Genomic DNA, 24,019 nt, shown 5'->3' on the forward strand with positions numbered 1-24,019 from the left:
TCTCGGACGCTAGAGTTTCTGACTTAACACATCACCACTAAATTATCTTTATGAAGATCTGCTTTGGCCACGTGACTTCCCTGCTTGAAATCCTTCAGTGGCTTCTCACTACAGAATACAATTCTTACCTGTCACCTTTCCAGCTGGTCCTCCCACTTCTTATGTAAACCCTGTGCTCCTGTCAATCTGGACTACAGGATGTGTTCCATACACAGGCATTCATATCTTGCCTCATGTTTCTGGCCATGCCTGAATGCTATACATAGATTGCAGAAGAGATAAAATTTTATCCATGAAGCACCAGTGCCTAGGCTGCCCACAGCGACCTCAGAATGGTGACCCCACCATTTCCTTCTTCTAGTATGTTGCCATGGCTCCTTCCAGGTAGGCTGATGGGAAGTCAGCCTGCCCTCTGCTGTAGTCATAACGAGCTGAACTGATGACCAGTGCTGGGGCCCAAGGTGACTGCACTCTGGTTGGACATCTGGGAAATGAACTGCCCCTGGGAATGCTTGGCTTGAAACTGTCCAACAGGATAGCTTTCAATTTGATGGCAGCCAAAAAACCTACAGAGCTCCTCTCTTTAAGAAGTGTCAGGGGGTGGCCAGGCGCAGTGGCTCACGCCTGTAATCCCAGCACTTTGGAAGGCCGAGGCAGGTAGATCACGAGGTCAGGAGATCGAGACCATCCTGGCTAATATGGTGAAACCCCGTCTCTACAAAAAATACAAAAAATTAGCCGGGCGTGGTGGCGGGTGCCTGTAGTCCCAGCTACTCAGGAGGCTGAGGCAGGAGAATGGCGTGAACCCGAGAGGCGGAGCTTGCAGCGAGCCGAGATTGCGCCACTGCACTCCAGTCTGGGTAATAGAGCGAGACTCCGTCTCAAAAAAAAAAAAAAAAAAAAAGAAGTGTCGGGTTAAGGAGAGGCAACTCATCTTCTAGTGAACAAGTGAGTTTTAATTTTGGTTCTCCCCTAAGCTCTACATCTTAGTCTTAGCTTGTCCCACACTTCTGGGTATTCTTGCAATAAACTCCCAAGCAAAGACAACATGGGCATGTATTTTCTTGCAGCCTCAACTGCTTAATTCAAGTGCTCTCCCCACTGATCTCTGAGACACATGTACAAAGACGTTGGTAGATGCATTGTTTGTAATGACAGAAAAATGTGTCCACTAATATGGGCTGGTTAAGTGATCGTATTCATCAAATATAAGATACATCCCAATTTAGAGACATTAAAATATCAATCAAATGGCCTACAGTAGTTACATGATGTAGTTGATTCTTCTAATATGTGAAAAAATGTGGGTCTTAGACTTGGAGAACTAAGGTATGGTGTATTCACACAGTGGACTACTTTGCAGCTGGGGTAGGTAATGGCACAAAAGGAGGTGTGTGTCGTGTTACCTGTAACAACCTGAGCTTGAAAAGTAAACAGTCTTAAACCAAGTGGTGAACACACGCATATAGTTTAAGTATTTTTACAGCTTTTTGTTTGTCTAAGGTATGTTAAACATTTTTCTTTTTTTTCCCAAGATAGAGTCTTGCTCTGTTGCCCAGGCTGGAGTGCAGTGGCTTGATCATGGCTCACTACAACCTCCACCTTCCAGGTTCAAGCAATTCTCCTGCCTCAGCCACCCGGGTAGCTGAGATTATGGGCACCGTCACCACACCTGGCTAATTTTTGTATATTTAGTACAGACGGGGTTTCACCATGTTGGCCAGGCTGGTCTTGAACTCCTGACCTCGTGATCCACCCGCCTCAGCCTCCCAAAATGCTGGGATTACAGGCATGAGCCACTGTGTCCGATATGTTATACATTTTTATATATATACATTCTGATATGCTATATACAGTTATACCCAGCCAATATGTTACACAGTTTTCTCTCACTGGGCCTAGCAACATTTTTGTTATGTTATACATTTTGTTATACATTTTTTCTAACCGGGCCTAGCAATCTGCTTTATCTCCCTTGTTCTGTGGGAAACCTTGTGTTCAAGTGATAGCTTAAAAATCAATTCTCGGCTGGTGGCGGTGGCGGTGGCTCACGCCTGTCATCCCAGCACTTTGGGAGGCCAAGGTGGGCAGATCATCTGATGTTAGGGGTTTGAGACCAGTCTGGCCAACATAGTGAAACCTCATCTCTACTAAAAACACAAAAATTAGCTGGGCGTGGTGACGGGCGCCCGTAATCCCAGCTACTCGGGAGGCTGAGGCAGGAGAATAGCTTTAACCCAAGGGGCGGAGGTTGCAGTGAGCCGAGATAGTGCCACTACACTCCAGCCTGGGCAACAGTGTTAGACTCTGTCTCAAGAACAACAACAAAAAAAAAGACAAAAAAAAAAAAAAAGAATTCTATAAATAAAGGAGTTGAGAGAAACATTCACTGTCCCTTATCTCTACATGTTGATTATCAGAATAAAAAGAATTCCAGCAACATCAGTCATGGGCACAAAGCCAACCCGTAAACATTTACAGAACTCGATGATTACCCAAAACTCGGCTTGCTTTCTCAATACTACTGACTTTGGCTTCACATTAGCCACAGGTGTGTCTAGAGTTAAACAAGGTCAACTTTACAAAAAAAAAAAAAAACAAACTGATACTTGGGCATAGTTTAAAAAAAACTTAAAAGTGTGTGTGTGTGTGTGCGTGCGCGTGTGTGGTGGGGGGCGGGGCATTTCAATATAAATGCCTTAAACACAACCTTCCTGGCTATTTTATAAAATGGGTTGAATCTCTAAGGACACATATTTCCTAAGACCTCGACTGATACACAGAGTGCAAACTTGGGAGCCAGACTAGACTGCCTCAGAATCATGCCAGCTGTGTGGCACTGGAAAGTCACCTAATTTTGCAGCGCCTACCTTCACCTCTGTAAAATGGGGAACAATAATAACTAATTTATGGATGCTGTAAAGATCTGAAATTTTAAACTCAGTAATGCGCCTGGCACACATTAGACACGGGTGTTTCGTTTGTCTTGGCAAAGGCTTCGGGTTTTGCGACAATAGCCTTGCTGCCTCCGGAGCAAGCATCTCTCCTTGCCCCCTCTGGGGCATTTAAAAATGACCTCAATTCTACTCTCAATTATGTCCAGTTCAACAGTTACGTGCAGGTTACAAAGCCGAGGAAGCTGAGGTATCTTCTAAACTAACATAGCACGTACAGAATTTTTTTAAAGTTTGGTGGAGGAATCGGCAGCACAAGGTAAGCTGCGCTCTGTTCACAGACCTGGGAATCAGAACTCCGGCCGCCGCGGCCTCCAGGCGCCTCTCAGCTAACAGACTTCCTGCAGCAGGGGGAGGGGCGGCCAGCTCGCTGCAAAAAGCCGCAGGACCCCCTCACCCCGCCTTGCCGCCCCCGCTCCCACTCTCTGGGATGGGGAGTGCAGGGTCTAGGCGATGGCACTTACCAGCGCGAAGTGCACCAGCGCGTCGTAGCAGAGCCAGATGAGCGCCCCGCGGTCCGCCGCCCCCTGCCCGCGGCCCAGGCGCAGGCCCAGGGCGCAGCCCGCCGCCAGCAGCGCGGCGCACAGCAGCAGCGAACCGCCAGCCTCGGCCCCCAGCTCCCACTCAGCGCCCATGCTTCAGGCTTCCGACGCCAACGGCCCAGGACCATGCGGCAGAGGAAAGCAGGGAGAGAAACGACGGGGCGGGGCTGGCCGGGAAGGGGCGGAGCCGGATGGCCAAGGAGGAGCGGAGCTGATTGGCCAAGGCGGTCCGGGGAGGGACGGGGCTCCCCGGCCGGGTCGGGGCCAGAGCGAGGATTCCGTGCCCGCCTCGCACCCTGGCCAGCCTGCTGAGTCCGGTGGTTTTGCCAGGTGCCGCCCATGGAGGTTCCGTAGAAGGAACGTGCTCACCAACTTGCGCAACCGCCTCGACCAAACCTGTTCCCAAACCGAGCCCAAAGGATTGGTAATAGGGCCACACCTTTTGATGTTGTTTCGCTTTTAACAAGGCTCAAACTTTAAGCCACAAAGTGAAGCCTAGGTAGTGGAAATTTTGCCAGTAGACCGGGGCAGAATTTTAGGGGCAAAAGGTTTTAATTAGGCTGCAGCAAGCCTTACCAGGGAGGCTGGGGGCCAAGGGAGTTTTCAGCCACCAGCCGGCTTAAAGCCTTTATGGCCTACTCTGACAATCTTTCCATTTCTTAAAAATCCAGAAAAGTAGAAGGGTGGGTGAGAGGAGCGGTAAGTCCTATTGGCTTGGCGATAGATGCGTTTAACCTGTGGCAGGCCAGGTTTCACTATCGCAGGCCTCCATCACAACTGCTTCAGCACTGAGTGGTTAAATTAAATATTAAAAGCTGAGGCCGGGCGCGGTGGCTCACGCCTGTAATCCCAGCACTTTTTGCCAAGGCGGGCGGATCACGAGGTCAGGAAATCGAGACCATCCTGGCTAACACGGCGAAACCACGTCTCTACTAAAAATACAAAAAATTAGCCGGGCGTGGTGACGGGCGCCTGTAGTCCCAGCTACTCCGGAGGCTGAGGCAGGAGAATGGCGTGAACCCGGGAGGCGGAGCTTGCAGTGAGCCGAGATCGCGCCACTGCACTCCAGCCTGGGCAACAGAGCGAGACTCCGTCTCAAAAAACAAAAAAAAAATTAAAAGCTGAAAGAGTCAGTGCCCATATACCAAAGTCTGGAATGTAACAAAAGCCCACCAAGAGTTTTGCCTAGGCCTTTCTTGGGCCTTGAAGCATGACAAGATAACTAAGGAATTTTTAACAGGACCCGTTTAGGATTAAACAAGTTTTATTGGGGGTCTGAAGAAACTCCCCAGGCCTCCAAAAACAAGTTTATTGGGAGTCTGGAGGAATTCCACAAGCCTCCATGATTTAGCAAGAGACAAAATAAGGGTAATCATCCCAGCACCCAGACCTATTTAGATTAAGTAAATTTACTGAGGCTCCAGAGGAAGGTCTTCAGGATTAGAAGTTGTTAATCACTTACGTCTTTAGATGAATGCACTCTTACACGTAGACATATAGCTTAGAAGGTATATACGCTCTGGAAAAACTTTGTAATTATGAGTTGGTCTGGCAATAATTTCCAGACCTTCTCCCTGTAACCGGTTGCAGAAATAAAAACTCTTCTTCCCCAGTTCATCTGCACCTCATTATTGGGCTGCCCAACCCCCAGTTTGGTCCGGGAACAAACCTACATTATTTAACATCACAACAACCCTATGAGGTCGGTGAAATAAGCCAGTCACAAAAACATACTTATGATTCCACTTACAGGAAATATCTAAAATAATCAATTTGCAGAAACAAAATAGAATGATGGTTACCAGGGGTGGGGCGGGGCGGGAGTGGGGGGGGGGCGCGGGGAAAAGTGGAGTGTTATTTATTCGGATAGTTTGATTTGCAAGATGATGTTCTGGAGATTGGTTGCACAACAACGTGAACATACTTTACTGAGCTGCACACTTAAAAATGGTTAAGATGGCAAATTTTATGTGTATTTTACAGTTATTAAAAAAAATGCTGGCACTGAACACAAGAAATTTTTCCCTTAGTCACTTCCTATACCATTTTTTATAGCAGTTAACACCAGATAGAATGATCCTTGTTTACACACTTATTGCTAATCTCCTGCCACTATAATGTAAGTCTTCAAGGCCAGGGGTTGTGGCTAGCTTTTTTATTGCTGTATCCCTGGCACCTATTACAGAGTTTGGCATATATTAGCTGCTCAGTTAAATAACTGGCGACTGAGTATGGTCAATCTAGCCACCTATGCTCTGGATCCTGTCCTGTAACTAACTTATCATCCTTTAGGGACCACTCGGCCCACCTCCCCTTCAGAGCAAAATAGAAACTTAATGAAAAAACTGATCAGATCCCCTGTCTTCATGTCTTGACCCTGCTCCTCAGTCCTTTCTACTCTGGTTTCTGCCTTATCACACTGATATAGCTCTCACTAAGGTGACTACTGGCCTCCACATCACTGAACCCCAAGAACAGTTCATTTTCTTAGTGTAGTTTACTTCTCAGCAGCATCCCAGCACTGAAATATTTTTCCTTTGGTTTTCTGAGAATACAGCCTCCTTAGCCATTCTGTTTCCTTTGCAAGTGCATCTTCCACTACAAATGCCTAGTGAATGCTGCAGCTCCACAACCCAGTCCTCGGCCCTGTTCTCACTCCAGACCCCAAATCCAGGCAGTCTCATCCTTACCCTCTGCTTTAATGACCAGCAAAACCTGCAGAGAACTCAAATCTCTAGCCTGGTCCTATTCTCTGGACTCCAGACCAGTATTTCCAACTGCCCTACTTGACAGTCACTTGGATGTCTCAATATAACCCAAACTGAGCTCATCACTTTCCACCCCAATGTCTGATTCTCCTTCCTATCTCATGTTACTTCCACTCATCAGTTACTACAACCCGGAAACCTAGAAATCATCCCCGATACTTCTCTCTCCCCAAACTTGGCATCTAAGGCATCACCAACTCCTCCTCAGCAGCCAAGTATTTCTTGATTCCATGCATTTCATGGACCTGTTCACCATCTCGTCTGTGCTTCACTCACTAATGTGACCAGCGACCTCTACATCACTAAATCCAAAGGACGTTTTCTGTCCTTAGCCTTACCAACTAGTGATCTTTATTAATCTATTATCCCTCTTGCTTAATGATGATCTTCATATAGAATACCAAAATCCTTTTTATGACTTACTAGACTGTGGGGTCTGGCCCCTCCCTATCTCTTTAGCCCTTTCCCATTCCCCTATTAATCCTCCTCTCCATTATAATCTTTCATCTAGCTATACTTGCTTTCTTTCACTTCCTCAAATACCCCATGGTGCTTCCCACAAGGCTTTGTACAGACTCTTCCCACTGCTGGAAAGCTTTTCCAGTCAATGTGCCCAATAAACTCCTGCCTTTTCACCACGATCAGTGAAATTTTGGCTGGCACTTTTTAAGGGCTCAACATTAGCCTGGTTATCACCTTTCTCAGTAGCCAATTTCCTCTAGTATGTGTATCATTGTATACCTCTTTTTTTCTAACATTTGTCAAAACTTGTCTTTTTTTTTATTCCTGTTATTTTTACAAGTATCCTGTGCCATAGCACAGTACCTGGCACGGGACAGAGTATTCAGTATTCGAATGTTTCTAAAGGCTTAGTCAGAATTCTTATTTATATAAGACTGAAGACATCGAAAGGATACATATGTAGAATGTGATCTCATGAGAAAAACTAGGCTGAAGTAAATATGAAATTTATTCTTATGTTTAGAGTTGAAAAGGGTAGATGCCCAACGATTTGGGTTAAAGAGAGCTGATGATAAAGAGGGTGTGACTTGATCACAAACCTAATTATGATGAAGCTGGTAAAATAACTGAAAGACTCCCCCCACATTAATAGAATCAAAAGTCCAGATAATGGAATGTTCCCATTCATTCCAAAGTACTCAGAAACCAGTCACACCACACTCCTTATTGTTGGAATCCTTGGAGTACATCACGCTGACAGGAACCAGGTCCAGCAATGACTTTATAATGAGAATGGATGAAATGCAAGGGGTGTTCGAGTAAAAGAAAGCTGATTTAAAAAATGGATGAGTCTCCTCTGCTATCTGGAAATAACAAAGTCTACTCCCAATCAAAAACAGTTAATTTACAATGATGGAAATTTAAGTTTCTTTCTCTTTTGAGACAGGGTCTCAACTCTGTGGCCCAGGCTGAAGTGCAGTGGCACGATCTCGGGTCCAGTGTATGGCAGCCTCAGCCTCCAAAGTAGCTGGGACTACAGGCATGTACCGCCAGGCCCAGCTATTTTATTTATTTATTTTTTTTGTAGAGATGAGGTCTCACTATATTGCCCAGGCTGGTGTCAAACTCCTGGGCTCAAGTGATCCACTGACCTGGGCCTCCCAAAGTGCTGGCATTACAGGTGTGGGCCACTGCACCCAGGTTAAGAAAGGATCTTGTAGCAAGCAAAGCTAGCCAATAAATACAAGCTCCCTCAAAATGAGTACCTTGTTTCTCAAGCTCTTCTAACTTACTCCTGCAGGAATGTTTCCATAAAATACCCTGCCTCAAAAATCAGATTTTATGTTTAAAATATGTAAAATGTATACTTTATAACACTTTGGCTTGTATTACCAATAAAACTTTTACTTACCACCTAGTAAAGTTGCTGTCCCACGAAAGTGTTCCTTATCTTATGGTTTCTCACACTATTTGGCACAAGGCCCCATGCATCTTTGGGTACCACAGTTTAAGGGAATTCCTCAAGAAGGTGTATGGCAATTTGCTAGGGTAGGGAAGGGGGATGCTGTAGAAGAAATTCCCTGCAGAGAATACTTTCTTTATGGCATGGCTCGGCCATAGTTTCTGTTTTTAATAATTTAATAGATGATTGTAAGTTTTCTGATGAGGCCAATCTCTCAACAATGCTTCAAGTGATCTTCAAACTATGCTATGATTTTCTAGTACAACTCCAGTTTTCCCTAGATAACTTAAAGATTTTCAACTACAAGTGTTTGAAAAACACTGCCATAGGGTGTTGAGATTTGGGCAATTAACACATTTGATTGTTTTACAACCCTGTTTTTTAGCCACAGGATAAATTTAAGAGGTAACTAGTTGCTCCATATTTCTATTTCTTTATCCCAAGTCCCTTGAAATAGATGTTCAGTACTACCTGGAGTTTCCTACAGATGATTTGGGAAATTAGGTTAGGCCTGCCTTCAATTTTTCCTAAAACTCAGAATGAAGAAAAGGCACATTTGTGTCTCCTTTCTTCATCTTATGCATCTGAGGAAAGCCTGGGACTGTTCATACAACAAAAAAGTCATGATTTAGGCTGTCTCATTTGAGTGGAGTTTTCTATAGGAATTGATTTAGGACAGTGGTTTACAATCAGGGATGGTTTTGGGCCCCCAGATGTTTGGCAATGTCTGGAGACATTTTTGGTTGTCTTAACTTGGGGAGAGGAGAGAGGTGCTACTGCTATCTAGTGAGTAGAGCCCAGGGATACTACTAAACATCCTACATTGCACAGGGCAGATGACACACAACAAAGAATTATCCAGCCAAAAATGTCAATAGTGCAGGGTTTAAAAAACCCCAATTTAGGCCAGGCGCTGTGGCTCCCGCCTGTAATCCTAGCATTTTGGGAGGCCGAGGCAGGCGGATCACTTGAGGTCAAGAGTTTGAGACCAGCCTGGCCAACATAGTGAAACTTGTCTCTACTAAAAATACAAAAATTAGGTGTGGTGGCAGGCGCCTGTAATCCTAGCTACTCGGGAGGCTGAGGCAGGAAAATCGCTTGAAACTGGAAGGCAGAGGTTGCAGTGGGTCATGCCACTGCACTCCAACCTGGGCTAAAGAGCGAAACTCCATCTCAAAAAACAAAAAAACAATTTAGGCCTAAGTTAGTTGAGGGATTTTATGGGCAAACAGTGGCATTAGGTTGCATTCCCACATCCCTTTTCCCACACATTGTATATAGCACTTTTGGAGAATCATTCTATCACTGTTTTTTAGCTATCTAAACAACATTTATACTCACAGCTTCATATACAGAAATTATATTTCCTTTCCCCCAAAAAGAGTTAAGTAAACTTTCCCAGTTTAACTAGGGTTTAAAAAATTAACCATCACTGTAAGACAACGGACATTCATGAATGTCAGGTGCTCTTGTTTACTTGTTTATCCGCATTAACTAATCCCCTGAAAAGGATGAATGACGCTTCTTAAAAAATTTTCTTTTCATATAAAAATAGAATTTTTTTAAAGATGGGGTCTTGCTATGTTGCCCAGGCTGCTCCCAAACTCCTGGGCTCAAGTGATCCTCCTGACTCAGCCTCCCAAGTAGCTGGAGCTACAGGTGTCTGCCACCAACCACGCCCTTCAGGATGACCCTTCTGAAAGAAATGATGGCAAGATTGTATGAGTACTATCACATTTACTTATACACCAACTTCTTTTAAAAGTAATTTGCAGTGGCATTATACAAAAGTAAACATTTCTATACTCAAAAGTTTGGCTGCTCCTTTGTTCTTTTAGTTAATGCAAGATTTCATTTAGTGCCATAAACTTTACCTAACAGGTTAAAACTTTTAGGTTTGCTCTGATTACTATTTTCCATAGTTACATGTTTTCAAGGGGTAGCCAGGTCTTAAAGTTTGAGTTTTTGTTTCATCAGTCACAATCATACCATCATCTCAAATAAATGGACTTTTTCTAAGTTATAGTATTTAAACCTGAGACACATAGGGAGAATGCCATGTGATGACGGAGGCAGAGACTGGAGTGATGCAGCTACAAGCCAAGGAATGCCAAGGATTGCCAGGAACCACCAGAAGCTAGGAAGAGGCAAGGAAGGATCATCCCCATCGAAGTCCCCAGACAGAGCATGGCTCAGTCATCACCTTGATTTCAGACTTCTGGTCTCCAGAAGTGGATGACAATACATTTCTATTGTCTGAAACCACCTGGTTTGTGGTACTTTGTAATGGCAGCTTAGGAAACTAATATAGATTTTGGCAATTCTTATTTGTCACAGAATAGTCTCAAATCTAGCATTATTATCGATCATCCTGGTTTGTTAGAGTTGAGATGGAAGAGGAACCCCTCTTAAGGGCCTGCCAGGTGCCCCACCAAGCATGGAAATAAAGGAAAATTTTGAGTTCCTTCAAGGGAAATTCCAGGCACCTAGCTAGCCCTATGAATAAATAAGAAACTTGATAAGCAAGAGAGTAATAGTAGCTTAAAACAACAGCCAAGGAAGTCACAGGATGTTTGGTTCCTTATAGAAACTAAAGATAACATCTTAACATATGTCCCTGAGTTGTTCTTCAGACACCTGGACCCCCACCAAATGGTCCACTGGCCAGGGAAGGGGGAACTGAGGACTGAGCTCTGACTGCCATTCTTTGTTCTAAATGTCTTCCTGAGGGGCCTATAGGAAGTCACGCCCATGGGGCAGACTTAGCATTCTTTTCTGCTGACCCCAAGTTTTTTGACAAAGCTTTGATTCCTTAATCAACTGCAAATAAGAAAATCTGTGAATTCACCTATGACCTATAAGTCACCCCCTGCCACCCTCGGCTTCAAGACAGCCCACCTTTCTAGGCCAAACCATTGTGTACTGATGTACAATTCTGCCTGTAATTTATGCTTTCCTGAAATTCACCCCTGCCTTTAAAAACCCTTGCTTGTAAAGCCATGAGGGAAGTTGGGTCTTAAGTGTGAGCTGCCTCATTTTTCTTGTTTGGTGCCCTGCCTGCAGATAAATGCCCTCCTTTTTCCTGCTGCAAAACCTTGCTATGAATGTTTGGCCTAACTGTGCCAGGTGAACAGACTCCAGTTTAGTTCAGTAATATGGTGTGAAGGAGATATTAAAATACAGTAAAAGAGTAATTCATGATTTACCTCCATTGTGATTTTTAAAAAAATAATTCCAAATTTAAATTTAACCATACAGAAAACAAACAAGTTATTTTCAGAAATAAGTTTTCAATGTTTTATCATATTTGATAGCAGCTTTTTTTATTGGTTACAAAACCTAAGCCCATATACAAAATTAGGAACACATTTAGATGCCTCTTTTGAAAGAACGTTTTAGTCTTTTTAAACTGAGTTTAAAAAAAAATAACAATGCAATTTTTAAACACTGTTTTGAAAACTTAAAAGTGCAGCAATATACTTAGTTTCCTTTATCTACGAAATGGTGCAATTCCAATTCAAAACTGGTAAGGTCACAAATTGAATCAAGGAAATGCATACAAGTGTCTGCACTACTTGATGCTAATGTTCACTTAAATGTTAGTTTGCACTTTAAAACATGAGAGGAAATAGGAATCATCACAGTAGAGGCCCAATTTTAATCATAATGTGTGCAAATTTTAAAAGGTAACTGTCAGTTAAGTAAGGAAAGTCCAGAAGAAACTAAACTGGAAGGGGTACGGTTCACAATATCAAGAAGATTTGGACTTTTAAGGGTTTCACCGAAGTTTGTGACCTTAATTAGCTTTTACGTTGTTATTCCTACTTTTAGCGAACACCACACAGTTTCAAAAATTTAGACTATAGTGTCCGAACAGGATGCAGTTACCATATGAAGCTTTAACTCAAAATTTGGATAAAGAAAAAAAGGCACAATGAACTTCAACTCAATTTTATGTGCACAAGAGTTGAAAAATCTGAGCCACCTTAAAGAGAAATTGATTCTAAAATTTATAAAACCTATAAATAATCAGAGGCCAAACCACTATATTAAAACAGATTCTCTAGCAAGTAAAAATCTTGCAGTTTAAACATACGCTTGTATCCACTTTAGATACAAGACAAAACTCACTCTTTAAAGTGGCTCCACCTTGGCAGATACATATATTTGTAATGAATGCACACCTGCTATGTGTTGTTTATCAGTGAAAACACCCCAGCTGATTCACAAAGCTCTGATGGCATCTGTCTCATCTTCATCACAGTAAATACACCCCCCAATGGATAACTAAATTAGTTTAGATTTTCTATCCCTTCACATCAATGCATTGGGAAATTATACCCAGTAAACAAGAGCAACAATACCATTTCTGTGACAGCACAAATTATTTAGTTTAAAAATTTTTAAATCCATATTCTTTCATTAATAACTGGGTCAGACAATTTACCAAAAGCAATAACTTGACATAGTAATACCGGATTTTGCAGAATTACTTAGAGATCACTGCAAATCAGGTTTATGTTAAATAACTGCAAATTACTCCTCTACACAGATCCCTGTCTGAATCTTTTAATATGTGAAGATGCTTTTTGAGTAGGATCTGAATTAACTTTCCCAATACTCAAAGAATGAACTCTTATGACACTTCTAAATAGTTGCTGGTTTGTTGCCAACCACATTATCAAAAGCACTGGTTACTAAGTAAAAAATATTTTAAGACTAAATTACAGTAAACATGAAAGCTCCACAGTTTAAACCCAATATAAATCAACCATATCCAATTATCAAATTAAAACAAAGAATATTAACTCCTGAAAGCTGAAAGCAAGATTTTTTTAAAAAACATCACCAATGGGTATTTTAGACTTTTGCAGTTTTTTTTTGTTTGCTTTTTGTTTTGCTGTTTTTCCTTTATACTCAGGGACTCTTGCTTTCAACTTAAACAGAAGTTCAAGTCCATAACAGGTTGCAGCTCAGGTAAAATACCATGCACAGCATTTGATTACTTCAAAACAGCAGGAACACACAGGCTGAAGAGAGTGGTCAAATAGGGCTTGCTGTTCTCAAAAATTAGGTATAATGGCAAAAGCATTAATATCCATATCTAAAGTTCTTCCTCCAACCCTGGCTTCTGAGGCAGATAATAAACACATCAATTACTGGTAGATGAAGTAGTTTTTTTTTTTTTTTAAACTTATCTGTTTATTCAATAACCAAGTTTCTTGTTTTTAAGTTACTTTTTTTGTGTCAGTTCCACCAATGAAAATCATTTGGCTTGTACTTTAAAATCTATTCTTCCACATAAAGAATATGAAAATATGTTTGTGGAGGACAATGATGGAGGCTCAGATCACACTGCACCTCTTTAGTCTTCCAACTTGTATATGCATCATACCAAAGTGTCTTGATCCACAGCGCACCATTTTCCAAAGGAGTATCAGTGGGCAGCTGACATGTCACCACTATGGAATATTTATTCTAAACTGGAGACTGCAGTTGTCAGCCTGTGGCACCAGGGAACAGGGAAAAATAGGGTAGTTGAGATTGTTAAGGAGAGTTCTAAAACAGTTTAGGAAATCATGCATATGCATTTACAGTCCATGTGATAGTGACTTTTGGCAACTGCAAAGTGACTGAGACATGGCTTGCTTTAGAAGCATCAAAACAAAGAGGCATGTGTGTTTTGGAGCCTTTTGTTGCTGTTGTTCTTATCATTTGGTAGCCATCTGGTGGTGCTTCATATTGAATGTGGGAAAGATGCTGCACTCAACTGAATTTAAAAATTAAATTCTTTTGTTTGAAGGTTGGCTGTTGGATCAAAATTGTAGGTACCTCCTTGTGTTGCTTCAGGAATGAGGCAGGGATCTTCATCAATCTGTAAAAAACAAGAAAAAAATCCTTATTAGGTTATGATACTATACATTATGATGTAAGTGGAATTGACTTTTTACCTCTTAGCAAATAATTCTATGTGAATGCTTTAACCAACTAAAAATATTCGAGTAAATCAATAATTTTATTAAGAAATTTAACAATTTAAAATTTAACACGTTTCGAAACTGCATTGTTAAGTTTCTGTATCTGGGACCTAGATTTATTTAACCTATCTGAACATATATCACTTATATAATTACTATTTCTTCCTAGTTAATAGATTAGAAATGAAACAAGAACTGTTTTTACAACTTTACCTTATAATGAAGTTTCAAAGTATTTAAGAGAAAGTGACTGATGGAATGTCTAATAGAAATACAGTACAAACTTATGTCATCCTAATAATAAAAGGAAAACTCTTAGTAAATTTACATCATGTATAGGTTTTCATTTACATGAAGATACACGCTATTTTAATATCTACTTACATCATCACCAGAGAAATACTGATCTATGATTTCAAATGCTAATTTATATATGTCTTCATTTTCATGTTGCTGTAAAACTTCAATTTTCTCCAAACCTGGTAAAAATAAAATAATCAAAATAACTGGTTAATTGATAAGGAGATACTAATCAAAACCACACTCATTTTAATCATGGAGAAATCCTAAGGAACTCAGAACACACTGCTCCCCCATCTAAGATAGTGGTTTGTCTAAAAAACAGACAAAACACGGGGCTGCTTCTAGTTGGAGGACCAGAATCCCACTAATTTTTTCCTTCTTAGAAGCCCTTGAGGTACCCGGATCCCTGAGGCAGACAGTCTAAAAAAACACCCAAACAATCCATTTGACAGAGGGAAGCTGTGGCATAAATATGTAAAGAGACTTATTTCAAGTTATATGGCAAGTTTGTGACAGTACTAGAACCAACTCCCCCACAGTGCTTTAATATAAATTTACTAATCTATTTTTTTTTTGAGACGGAGTCTCGCTCTGTCACCCAGGCTGGAGTGCAGAGTGCAGAGGTGTGATCTCGGCTCACTGCAAGCTCCGCCTCCTGGGTTCATGCCATTCTCCCGCCTAAGCCTCCCAAGTAGCTGGGACTACAGGCGCCCGCCACCACACCCGGCTAAGTTTTTCTATTTTTAGCAGAGACGGGGTTTCACTATGTTAGCCAGGATGATCTTGATCTCCTGACCTCGTGATCTGCCCACCTCGGCCTCCCAAAGTGCTGGGATTACAGGCGTGAGCCACTGCGCCTGGGCATTTTTTCTTTCTTTCTTTTTTTTTTTTTTTTTTGAGACGGAGTCTCACTCTGTAGCCAGGGCTGGAGTGCAGTGGCACGTCTCGGCTCACTGCAACCTCCACCTCCTGGGTTCAAGTGTCTCCTGCCTCAGCCTCCCAAGTAGCTGGGATTACAGGTGCCCACCACTATGCCCAGCTAATTTTTTGTGTTTTTAGTAGAGACGGGGTTTCACCATGTTGGCCAGGCTGGTCTCGAACTCCTGACCTCGTGATTCGCCCGCCTTGGCCTCCCAAAGTGCTGGGATTACAGGAGTGAGCCACTGCACCCGGCCAATCTTATTAATCTTACTGCCTCATAAAGTAATTTGTATCTTTCTCTTTGTTTTCCAAATGTTATTACCTTTATATAACCACAAAATGAGTTTTTAGAACCTTATAATTGGTATAAAAGATATAAAGATTTAAATTTTGAAAAACTTTCTTTAAAAAATGAATAGAGGTCTTATGTCCTATAGCCACAATGAACCTGGGAGAAAATATTTCCAGAACAGATATCATAGAATGCCTTCATTTATATTTCCAATATATTTACTCCACACATCATATACATGTTTATCAATTTCACACCTTAATATTCTTCCTTGAAATGTCTTTTTGAAGGTTATTTTAAAATAGTTGCAATTTTTTCTTATATACTAATAAACCAAAAGAATGGGGGAAATCGTTGCCAAAGTGCTTTATACAATTATAAAATATTAATATGTATCCTATTACTCCTATAGACAAAAGTAACTATATTGATAAAAAGCTGAAGAGTAGTAATTCTCTAAGTTGCTCAAACTTACTGTGTTATGAACCTGACTACAATTTTTAATTATCTTAATAGTAAGAAGATCTGGATTTTAACTTTGCTTCTATCACAACCTACTTCTGTCACCTTGGACAAGACTCCTTAAAATCTGTGGGATAATTTCTTCTCAAGAAACCCTCCCGGCTGGGTGCAGTGGCTCACGCCTGTAATCCCAGCACTTTGGGAAGCCGAGGCGGGCAGATCACCCGAGGTTGGGAGTTTAAGACCAGCCTGACCAACACGGAGAAACCCTGCCTCTACTAAAAATACAAAAATTTAGCCGGGCGTGGTGGTGCATGCCTATAATCCCAGCTACTAGGGAGGCTGAGGTAGGAGAATTGCTTAAACCCGGGAGACGGAGGTTGCGGTGAGCCATTACACTCCAGCCTGGGCAACAAGAGCGAAACTCTGTCTCAAAAAAAAAATAAATAAATAAAAAATAAATAAATAAATAAATAAATAAATAAATAAATAAATAAATAAATAGAAAGAAAGAAATCCTCCCAGTCTGAATATTCTACGGTACTACTGCATTTGTTTTCTCTTAAAATAAATAAATAAATAAACAATAGAATATTCATATAAAGTAGTCAATGAAATGTAAAATCTAAAACATGACATTATGATAAACTAATTTAAGGTTTAAACATGTTAGTACATATTGAACATGTACATTTAAAAACAGAATTTTAACATATGTTTCACATGTCATTAAAGAATAATACAGTATGTCAAATCACAATTATTTCTCATTAAAATTTCAAAGTAACTGCCACAGTAATAACTTCAGGATGTAGTTGTGGAAATCCTAAGAATCATTACAAGATTGAAACAAAATATCTAGGTGACTCAGAAGTCAGTAACCTTTTCCAACTATATGAAATAATATTTCCTAAAGTGGGGTCCACAGAATTACATGGTAATAACACACAAAAAAAGTGTTTCATTGTTAAGAAGTTTAAGAAATGCTGGATTAAATAAAGCTTTAAAATTTATGTAGTGTTGTAAGGGCTCTTAAATTTGCTGTCATGCACTGTGACTTCAAGAGAAGTATTAGTGTTTCCTAAAATGCAATGTCAGGCCAGGCGCAGTGGCTCATGCCTGTAATCCCAGCACTTTGGGACGCTGAGGCAGGTGGATCACTTGAGGTCAGGAGTTCGAGACCAGCCTGGCCAACATGGTGAAACCTCGTCTCTATTAAAAACACAAAAATCCACTGGGTGTGGTGGTGTGCGCCTGTAATCCCGGCTACCTGGGAGGCTGAGGTGTGAGAATTGCTTGAACTCGGGAGGCAGAGGTTGCAATGAGCTGAGATTGTGCCACTGCACTCCAGCCTGGGCGACAGAGCAAGATTCTGTCTCCAAAAAAAAAAAAAAAAGCTATGTTGTCAATCTCTAGAAGGCTATACAGTGACTTTCACAACCTGATTTTGCAAAGTATGGACTACTGTCTTCTGGAAAATCCTCTTGGAATGCAAATATAGTGAATAAAGAAAAGCAACATACTGTGATCATTTAAAAACAACGTATCCTAGTAATTTTCTGTCTAGTAAGTTGACTTTAAAGAACTTATGTTTCAGAGTTCCAGTGCTCAAATACTCTTCTTCCATCAATCCACTCTTACCTCCACATTCCTCTATTATTTCAGCTATTGTGCTTGCTTCATCACCGGCCATTATCAGAATGTTTTTTAGACCATCTAGAACCACCTGAACCACTTGAGAATCTTTCACTGACAGTAAATTACAGAACGGTGGTATTACATTCTGCTGTACAAGGTACTCAACCTAGACAACAAAAGAGAAGAAATATTTTTATTTATATAATTATCTATTTCCCAGTAGGGTGTCGTGCTACATGGAAGGCTGAGGCAGGAGGCTATCTTGAGCCCAGGAGTTGGAGGCTGTAGTGCGTTATGGTCATGCCTGTGAATAGCAACTGCACTCTAGCCTGGGCAACATAGTGAGACTCCATCTCTTAAAATAATAATAATTATCTTTTCCCCAAAAAGAACACAATACAGTCAGCAACTACGAAACATAAGAGAGCAGCATGCTTTCCAGTATTAACAATCATGACAGTTACAGGTTTTCAAACTCACCTGATCTTTTCTGCCACTTATTGTTAAGTTGCTGATTGCCCAAGCAGCTTCTTTTTGTGTTCCAAAGTCCCCCTGAAGGTTAAAAATGAGATCATAAAATGGACTCTTTATCCAAAAAGTCTTGGTTATTAACAGATTAACAGACACGGTGAACTCATAATATGACCAACCTTAGCAAGCTGATGAATTATCATAGGAATTAATCCAGCATCTATTACAGCTTGAACTTGTTGCTGGTTGCCTGCTGTTATGTTGGAAAGGAACCACACTGCTTCCTATAATTGAACAAAATATAGGGCACCTTTATTTGAAAAATAATACCTTTAATGTCTTTCTAATATATTTTATATAGACAATAACAAAATCACCTGAATTACGTTAAAGAGACTGCACCTAAAAAGTGATTAGGTATACAAAATCTTCCATTTTAAACAAGTTATAAGGAAATTTCCATTAATTATATTTGGGCTCCAATAACCTGGCATTTATCCATTCATTAATATATAGGCCTACTATAAGCTAGGCATTATTCTAGGAAATGGTGATTTTATAGAAATGAACAAAACAGAAATCTTTATTCATGGAGCTTACATGTCTGTGCATTAGCTTCCTCTAAAAGACAGAAATAAATATACAACTGAATTTCTTTTTTCTTTTCTTTTTTTTTTTGAGACGGAGTCTTGCTCTGTCGCCCAGGTTGGAGTGCAGTGGCGTGATCTCGGCTCACTGCAAGCTCCGCCTCCCGGGTTCACGCCATTCTCCTGCCTCAGTCTCCCGAGTAGCTGGGACTACAGGCACCTGTCACCACGCCCAGCTAATTTTCTTCTATTTTTAGTAGAGACGGGGTTTCACCGTGTTAGCCAGGATGGTCTCGATCTCCTGACCTCGTGATCCACCCGCCTAGGCCTCCCAAAGTGCTGAGATTACAGGCATGAGCCACCGCGCCCAGCCACTATACAACTGAATTTCTAAAACTACTTAAAAACTACTTCTAATAAAGGTGATTTCTTTTTTAATTTTAAAAAATATTTACTCACAAGATATAGTCATTCAAGTATTCCATAAAAATTAACCATCTAACTAGTCTAGCATGGGTCTATATAACATAAATATTCTAAAACTAAGGGATTTATAAGTCATAAACACGTCTGTGAGCTGTTTACAGGTTAGTATCACATGTGTATCTTCCTCTTCCACAAATGAATTTGTTTTGCCATCCAACTGTGGTAAGTTGTTAATAATTGCTGAATCTGTGTTTAGAGTACATGGGTGTTCACTATACTATTCTTGCACATTTTTTGTAGATTTAAAAAGTTTCAAACAGAAATGCTGAGGGAAGAAAATCAAGTTGGTAACTTCTACTTCCAGGGTCCTATGATAGTCTCAAAATGCAAGTAACAAATTTTCAAGGCAAAAAATTTTTGAAGTAACTAATTGCTTGCTGAAGTTGAGATGGCATTTCTATGAAATTTTCCTCTACCCCCCACGATACCCTCACTTAAAAGCATACTACATCACAGGCCGGAACCTTTCTCTGCTGACTTCTGCCCAGCTTCCTCACTTCTCAGTTGTTTCCAATTATGGAATATATTCATTTAGCTAAAAAAAAAAAAATCACCTATATTGTTAAAAATTTCTTTAGTAAAAGTAACTGGCCCAGAGTCTGAAAGTCTCTGGCTTCTTTGTCTTCACTGGAACAAATGTATCTATAAAATGTGTTTTTTGACACCATACTTTTCTATAAGAACCCAACAGTCAAATTATACTCAAGCAACTATACAAATATAGTTATGATGACGAAGAAGAAATGATCAGTTCTGCTGGGTTTGGGTGATGGTAGTATATTAGGCAGATAAAACTTTAGTAAACTAAATGTAAATTTATTTCTTTTTCTTTTTTCCTTTTTTTTTTTTTTTGAGACAGAGTCTTGCTCTGTCGCCCAGGCTGGAGTGCAGTGGCACAAACTTGGCTCACTGCAAACTCCACCTCCTGGGTTCATGCCATTCTCCTGCCTCAGCCTCCTGAGTAGTTGGGACTACAGGCGTCTGCTACCACACCCGGCTAATTTTTTGTAATTTTAGTAGAGACGGGGTTTCACTGTGTTAGCCAGGATGGTCTCAATCTCCTGACCTCGTGATCTGCCCGCCTCGGCCTCCCAAAGTGCTGGGATTACAGGCATGAGCCACCATGCCTGGCCAACTAAACGTAAATTTAAACCACAATGAGACACCACTTCACATCTACTAGGATTGTCAGTAATTTTTTTTAACAGAAAATAAACGTTGGCTAGGATGTGGAGAAATTAGAATTCTAGTAACACTGCTGGTGGGAATGTAAAACAGTGCAGCTGCAATGGAAAACGGTTTGGTGGTTCCTCAAAAAGCTAAACCCAGAATTAACATATGATCGAGCAATTCTACTTGCAGTTATATATCCAAAGAAATTGAAAGCGGGAACTCAAATAGGTATTTGTATGCCAATGTTCACTGCAGCATTCTTCGTAATAGTGAAAAGGTGGAAACAACCGAAGTGTCCATCAACAGAAGAATGTAAAAACAAAATGTGGTGTATACATACAATGGAATATTTATTCAGCCATAGAAAGAATAAAGTTCTGACACATGCTGCAAAATGAATGAACCTTGAAAACATGCTAGATGAAATAAGCCAGGCATGAAGACTTATTACATACTAGTAAGTACATATTACACAATTAATAATAAACTTGTCTATGAAGCTTGAAATCTTAAAAAGAGTAATTTTTTATGATCCTTGAATTTAGGCACCTCGTCTTTGGGTCCAAACTAATTTTGCTGGGAGATCAAAATTTTTATGATCGGTTTGTTTAAAAAAATACCAGCCCATTCAAATGGCAGATTTTGTCTGCACTTTCAAGCGGCTACTAATTTAATGATTGTTGCTATGCTCAGTCTACTTAAATAGAAACACAGGTAGTCTAAAAATGTTTTTTACTCTGTGATGACCAGGGCAGCACCTACCAGAAGCGATTAAAAGTTGAAAAAGGCTGGGCGCGGTGGCTCACGCCTGTAATCTCAGCACTTTGTGGGGCTGAAGCAGGCGGATCACAAGGTCAGGAGTTCGAGACCAGCCTGGCCAATATGGTGAAACCCCATCTCTACTAAAAATACAAAAATTAGCTGGGCGTGGTGGCGGGCACCTGTAGTCCCAGCTTCTCGGGAGGCTGAGGCAGGAGAATCGCTTGAACCCAGGAGGCAGAGGTTGCAGTGAGCCGAGATCGTGCCACTGCACTCCAGCCTAGGCAACAGACAGACTCTGTCTCAAAAAAAAAAAAAAAAAAGTTGAAGAAAAACATTTGCAGAGGTGATTTAAAATAATTCTCATCTTCGCTGCAGTGGCTTTTAAGAAAAACATACAAGTAGCAATAGAAACAAGGAGACAGTTAAAAATGAGACACAGAAAGAAATAGCATAATGAGGACATTATATGCCTTACCTTATTTATCTTCTCTTTTGGGTGTGATAAGAGATTTGGGAAGTGTGACAGGACATCACAATTGAGAACAACCTGGGTCTGCTCGTCGGTGCCAGTCACTATGTTGCCAACTGCTCTGAGGGCTGCTGTCTAGGGTGGGGATAAAATGTTTTCTATAAATTTATTTGCTTATAAGACTAATTCTATATTTTTCATAATCCTGAGAAAAAGTAAAAATGCAAGGCATAAATAACACTTATTTCATCCTTTCACAAAGCACCAAGCAGTCTGAGAGCTATTCTGAATTTTAAATAGTCTCTTGTGAAAAACTGAAACTTTATGAAAAAAAAAAATTGTGTGAAAATTGGTTGGAAAAAGATTCAAAAAATAAAAGGAAATTAAAATTTTAGAAGAAGTCCAGTTTCTTAAGGCTGGGCATGGTGGCTCATGCCTATAATCCCAGCATTTTGGGAGGCCGAGGCGGGGGGGATCACCTGAGGTCAGGAGTTTAAGACCAGCCTGGGCAACATAGTGAAACTCCATCTCTACTAGAAATACAAAAATTAGCTGGTGTGATGGTGCATGCCTGTAATCCCAGCTACTCTGAAGGCTGAGGCAGGAGAATCACTTGAACCTGAGAGGCAGAGGCTGCGGTGAGCAGAGATCGCGCCACCATACTCCAGCTTGGGCGACAGAACAAGACTCCATCTCAAAAATATATATAATATTTTAATAAACGCCTGGAATGGGCACACACTTCCACCTAGAAAGTCACTTTGGTAAAGCAGGATGAACAGATCTAATAAGTGCCTACCCCTAATTAGAGTGGGAGAGAGAAAGAAGAAATGCAATTAGGTTATTGCAATTATTTGGGGGAAAGATAGAGTCTTGAACTAAATCTGTTGTTCTAGATAGATAAGGAGAGACAGATTTGAACCTATATAAGAAGAATTGAAATGATTTTGTAATGGAATGGGAATTGCAAGGAGGAATCAAAATTTCTAGCTTAGGCCATGCTGTTCACTGAAGGTAGACAAGGAAGAAGAGCAGGTTTGTGGGAGATGATCGTTTCATTTCTGTCTAGTTAACCACGGAAAGCTTGAAGGAGTTCTTAGATGATATGTATAAAGGGTCAAGAACAATTGGCTATACAAGTGTGGAACTCAGCAAAGAAACTGGGTGAGATAAAGATTTGGAAATCAACAAAATCAGGCTCAGGGACTAGCAGAAGAAATGTGGAAGATAAGCACTTACAGATAGAATTAAAGCCTAGCTGTACAAGTTAACTGGTTATAGCAAACACAACTGTATACAAATAAGAAAAATTTAAAAATACTTACTTGAACTTTGACTTCCTGATGGCTCAGAAGGGGCACAAGAAAGGGCACAACTCCTGAATCAATAACCATCTGTATCTGTTCATTACCTCCATCTGTCAAGTATGACAGAGCCCAAACAGTGTCTACAAGAATCTACAGGAAACACAAAAGAAAAACCATTTTACATATTTGTTTGAATGCTTTACTTGTTCAACACACCTCAGGAGTAGTGACAGAAAAAGTAACCAAATTTCAAGTTTTAGCTTAGTGGCAAAAATATCTGCTTAGCTGATTAATCTATTAAGTAGAAAGTACCTTATCTTTCTTTCAGTGCCTACCTCAGATCATTCTTCACAGAAAATGAGACACAGAAGTCTGGGAAAACTTCTATTCCAACTTCTGCATTTATGTATCAGACAGATGAATTTAAAAACAGGCAGAAAAGTAATTCTCCCTGCCCTCACAAATTAGCTACCTAATAATCCCACAGAAAAACACTATTTACAAGAATGAGGCCAACACACCATACTGTTTCAAGTTCAGAAGAGAACAGAAAGGTCATCTATTTACTCTACTGGTTTTCCAACATATTTAGCAATACAATTTTTCAGGCTACTAAAGTAAACCAATAAAAGAAATGACTTGGCACTTTAACTTCATCTGGGGAAAAAACTGTTTGAAAATCTCCTGAAATGTGTCCCCAACTGAAGTATAAACCTGGAGTATAAACCATGCCCTAGGCCTATCCTAACTTTGCAACTACATAGAAGAAAACAGGCTTAGCGATCTGGTGATTCATTCAAGGTCAAAGATCTTGTATGTGGCATTGCTTGGTGTCGTCACAGAGGAATATAAGCACTGGTTGTAGCTTATGCAAAATCAAGATGTTTCCTATTAGGTCATCCAAATTGAAGACATCACATCTTTTTGCCCTAAAATAATAGCAGGCACCTGAATTCACATACCCTTCAAAAAAGGATATAGA

The 24,019-nt window shown here is 40.6% G+C and overlaps 2 protein-coding genes across 6 annotated transcripts in view, besides 3 other annotated features; both read right to left on the reverse strand.

Annotated features, from left to right (window-relative positions):
- EBPL (EBP like) overlaps positions 1-3,652 on the reverse strand; it is a 30,814-nt gene extending 27,162 nt beyond the window's left edge. For 3 of the 4 annotated variants that reach the window (NR_103803.1, NR_103802.1, NM_001278636.1), the window contains exon 1: positions 3,419-3,652. Coding sequence is in view for 2 of the 4 variants with exons in the window: in NM_001278636.1 (NP_001265565.1) it covers positions 3,419-3,589 (171 nt within the window). In the remaining 2 variants the exon portion in view is untranslated. The remainder of the gene's footprint in view (positions 1-3,418) is intronic. The other variant, NM_032565.5, reaches the window with a different exon arrangement.
- Positions 2,946-3,943: an enhancer, noted in NCBI's record as "H3K27ac-H3K4me1 hESC enhancer chr13:50264917-50265914 (GRCh37/hg19 assembly coordinates)". NCBI's record gives its function as "activates a minimal SCP1, AML or CMV promoter by ChIP-STARR-seq in naive H9 embryonic stem cells {active_cell/tissue: H9 hESC(naive)}" and the evidence as "EXISTENCE:reporter gene assay evidence [ECO:0000049][PMID:30033119]".
- Positions 3,407-3,546: a silencer, noted in NCBI's record as "silent region_5344". NCBI's record gives its function as "represses an Ori minimal core promoter by ATAC-STARR-seq in GM12878 lymphoblastoid cells {active_cell/tissue: GM12878}" and the evidence as "EXISTENCE:reporter gene assay evidence [ECO:0000049][PMID:35858748]".
- Positions 3,577-3,776: a silencer, noted in NCBI's record as "silent region_5345". NCBI's record gives its function as "represses an Ori minimal core promoter by ATAC-STARR-seq in GM12878 lymphoblastoid cells {active_cell/tissue: GM12878}" and the evidence as "EXISTENCE:reporter gene assay evidence [ECO:0000049][PMID:35858748]".
- The window catches only part of KPNA3 (karyopherin subunit alpha 3), a 93,363-nt gene continuing 80,828 nt past the window's right edge, over positions 11,485-24,019 (reverse strand). For both annotated transcript variants that reach the window (NM_002267.4, XM_017020561.2), the window contains exons 11-17: positions 23,056-23,187; positions 21,737-21,865; positions 18,433-18,537; positions 18,263-18,334; positions 17,786-17,948; positions 14,551-14,645; positions 11,485-14,063 (exon numbers count right to left, since the gene is read on the reverse strand). In NM_002267.4, coding sequence (NP_002258.2) covers positions 13,965-14,063; positions 14,551-14,645; positions 17,786-17,948; positions 18,263-18,334; positions 18,433-18,537; positions 21,737-21,865; positions 23,056-23,187 — 795 coding nt within the window. In that variant the 3' untranslated portion in view covers positions 11,485-13,964. The remainder of the gene's footprint in view (positions 14,064-14,550; positions 14,646-17,785; positions 17,949-18,262; positions 18,335-18,432; positions 18,538-21,736; positions 21,866-23,055; positions 23,188-24,019) is intronic.

The sequence above is a fragment of the Homo sapiens genome, chromosome 13, assembly GCF_000001405.40.
Source record: "Homo sapiens chromosome 13, GRCh38.p14 Primary Assembly".
In the NCBI taxonomy this organism is placed as follows: domain Eukaryota; kingdom Metazoa; phylum Chordata; class Mammalia; order Primates; family Hominidae; genus Homo; species Homo sapiens.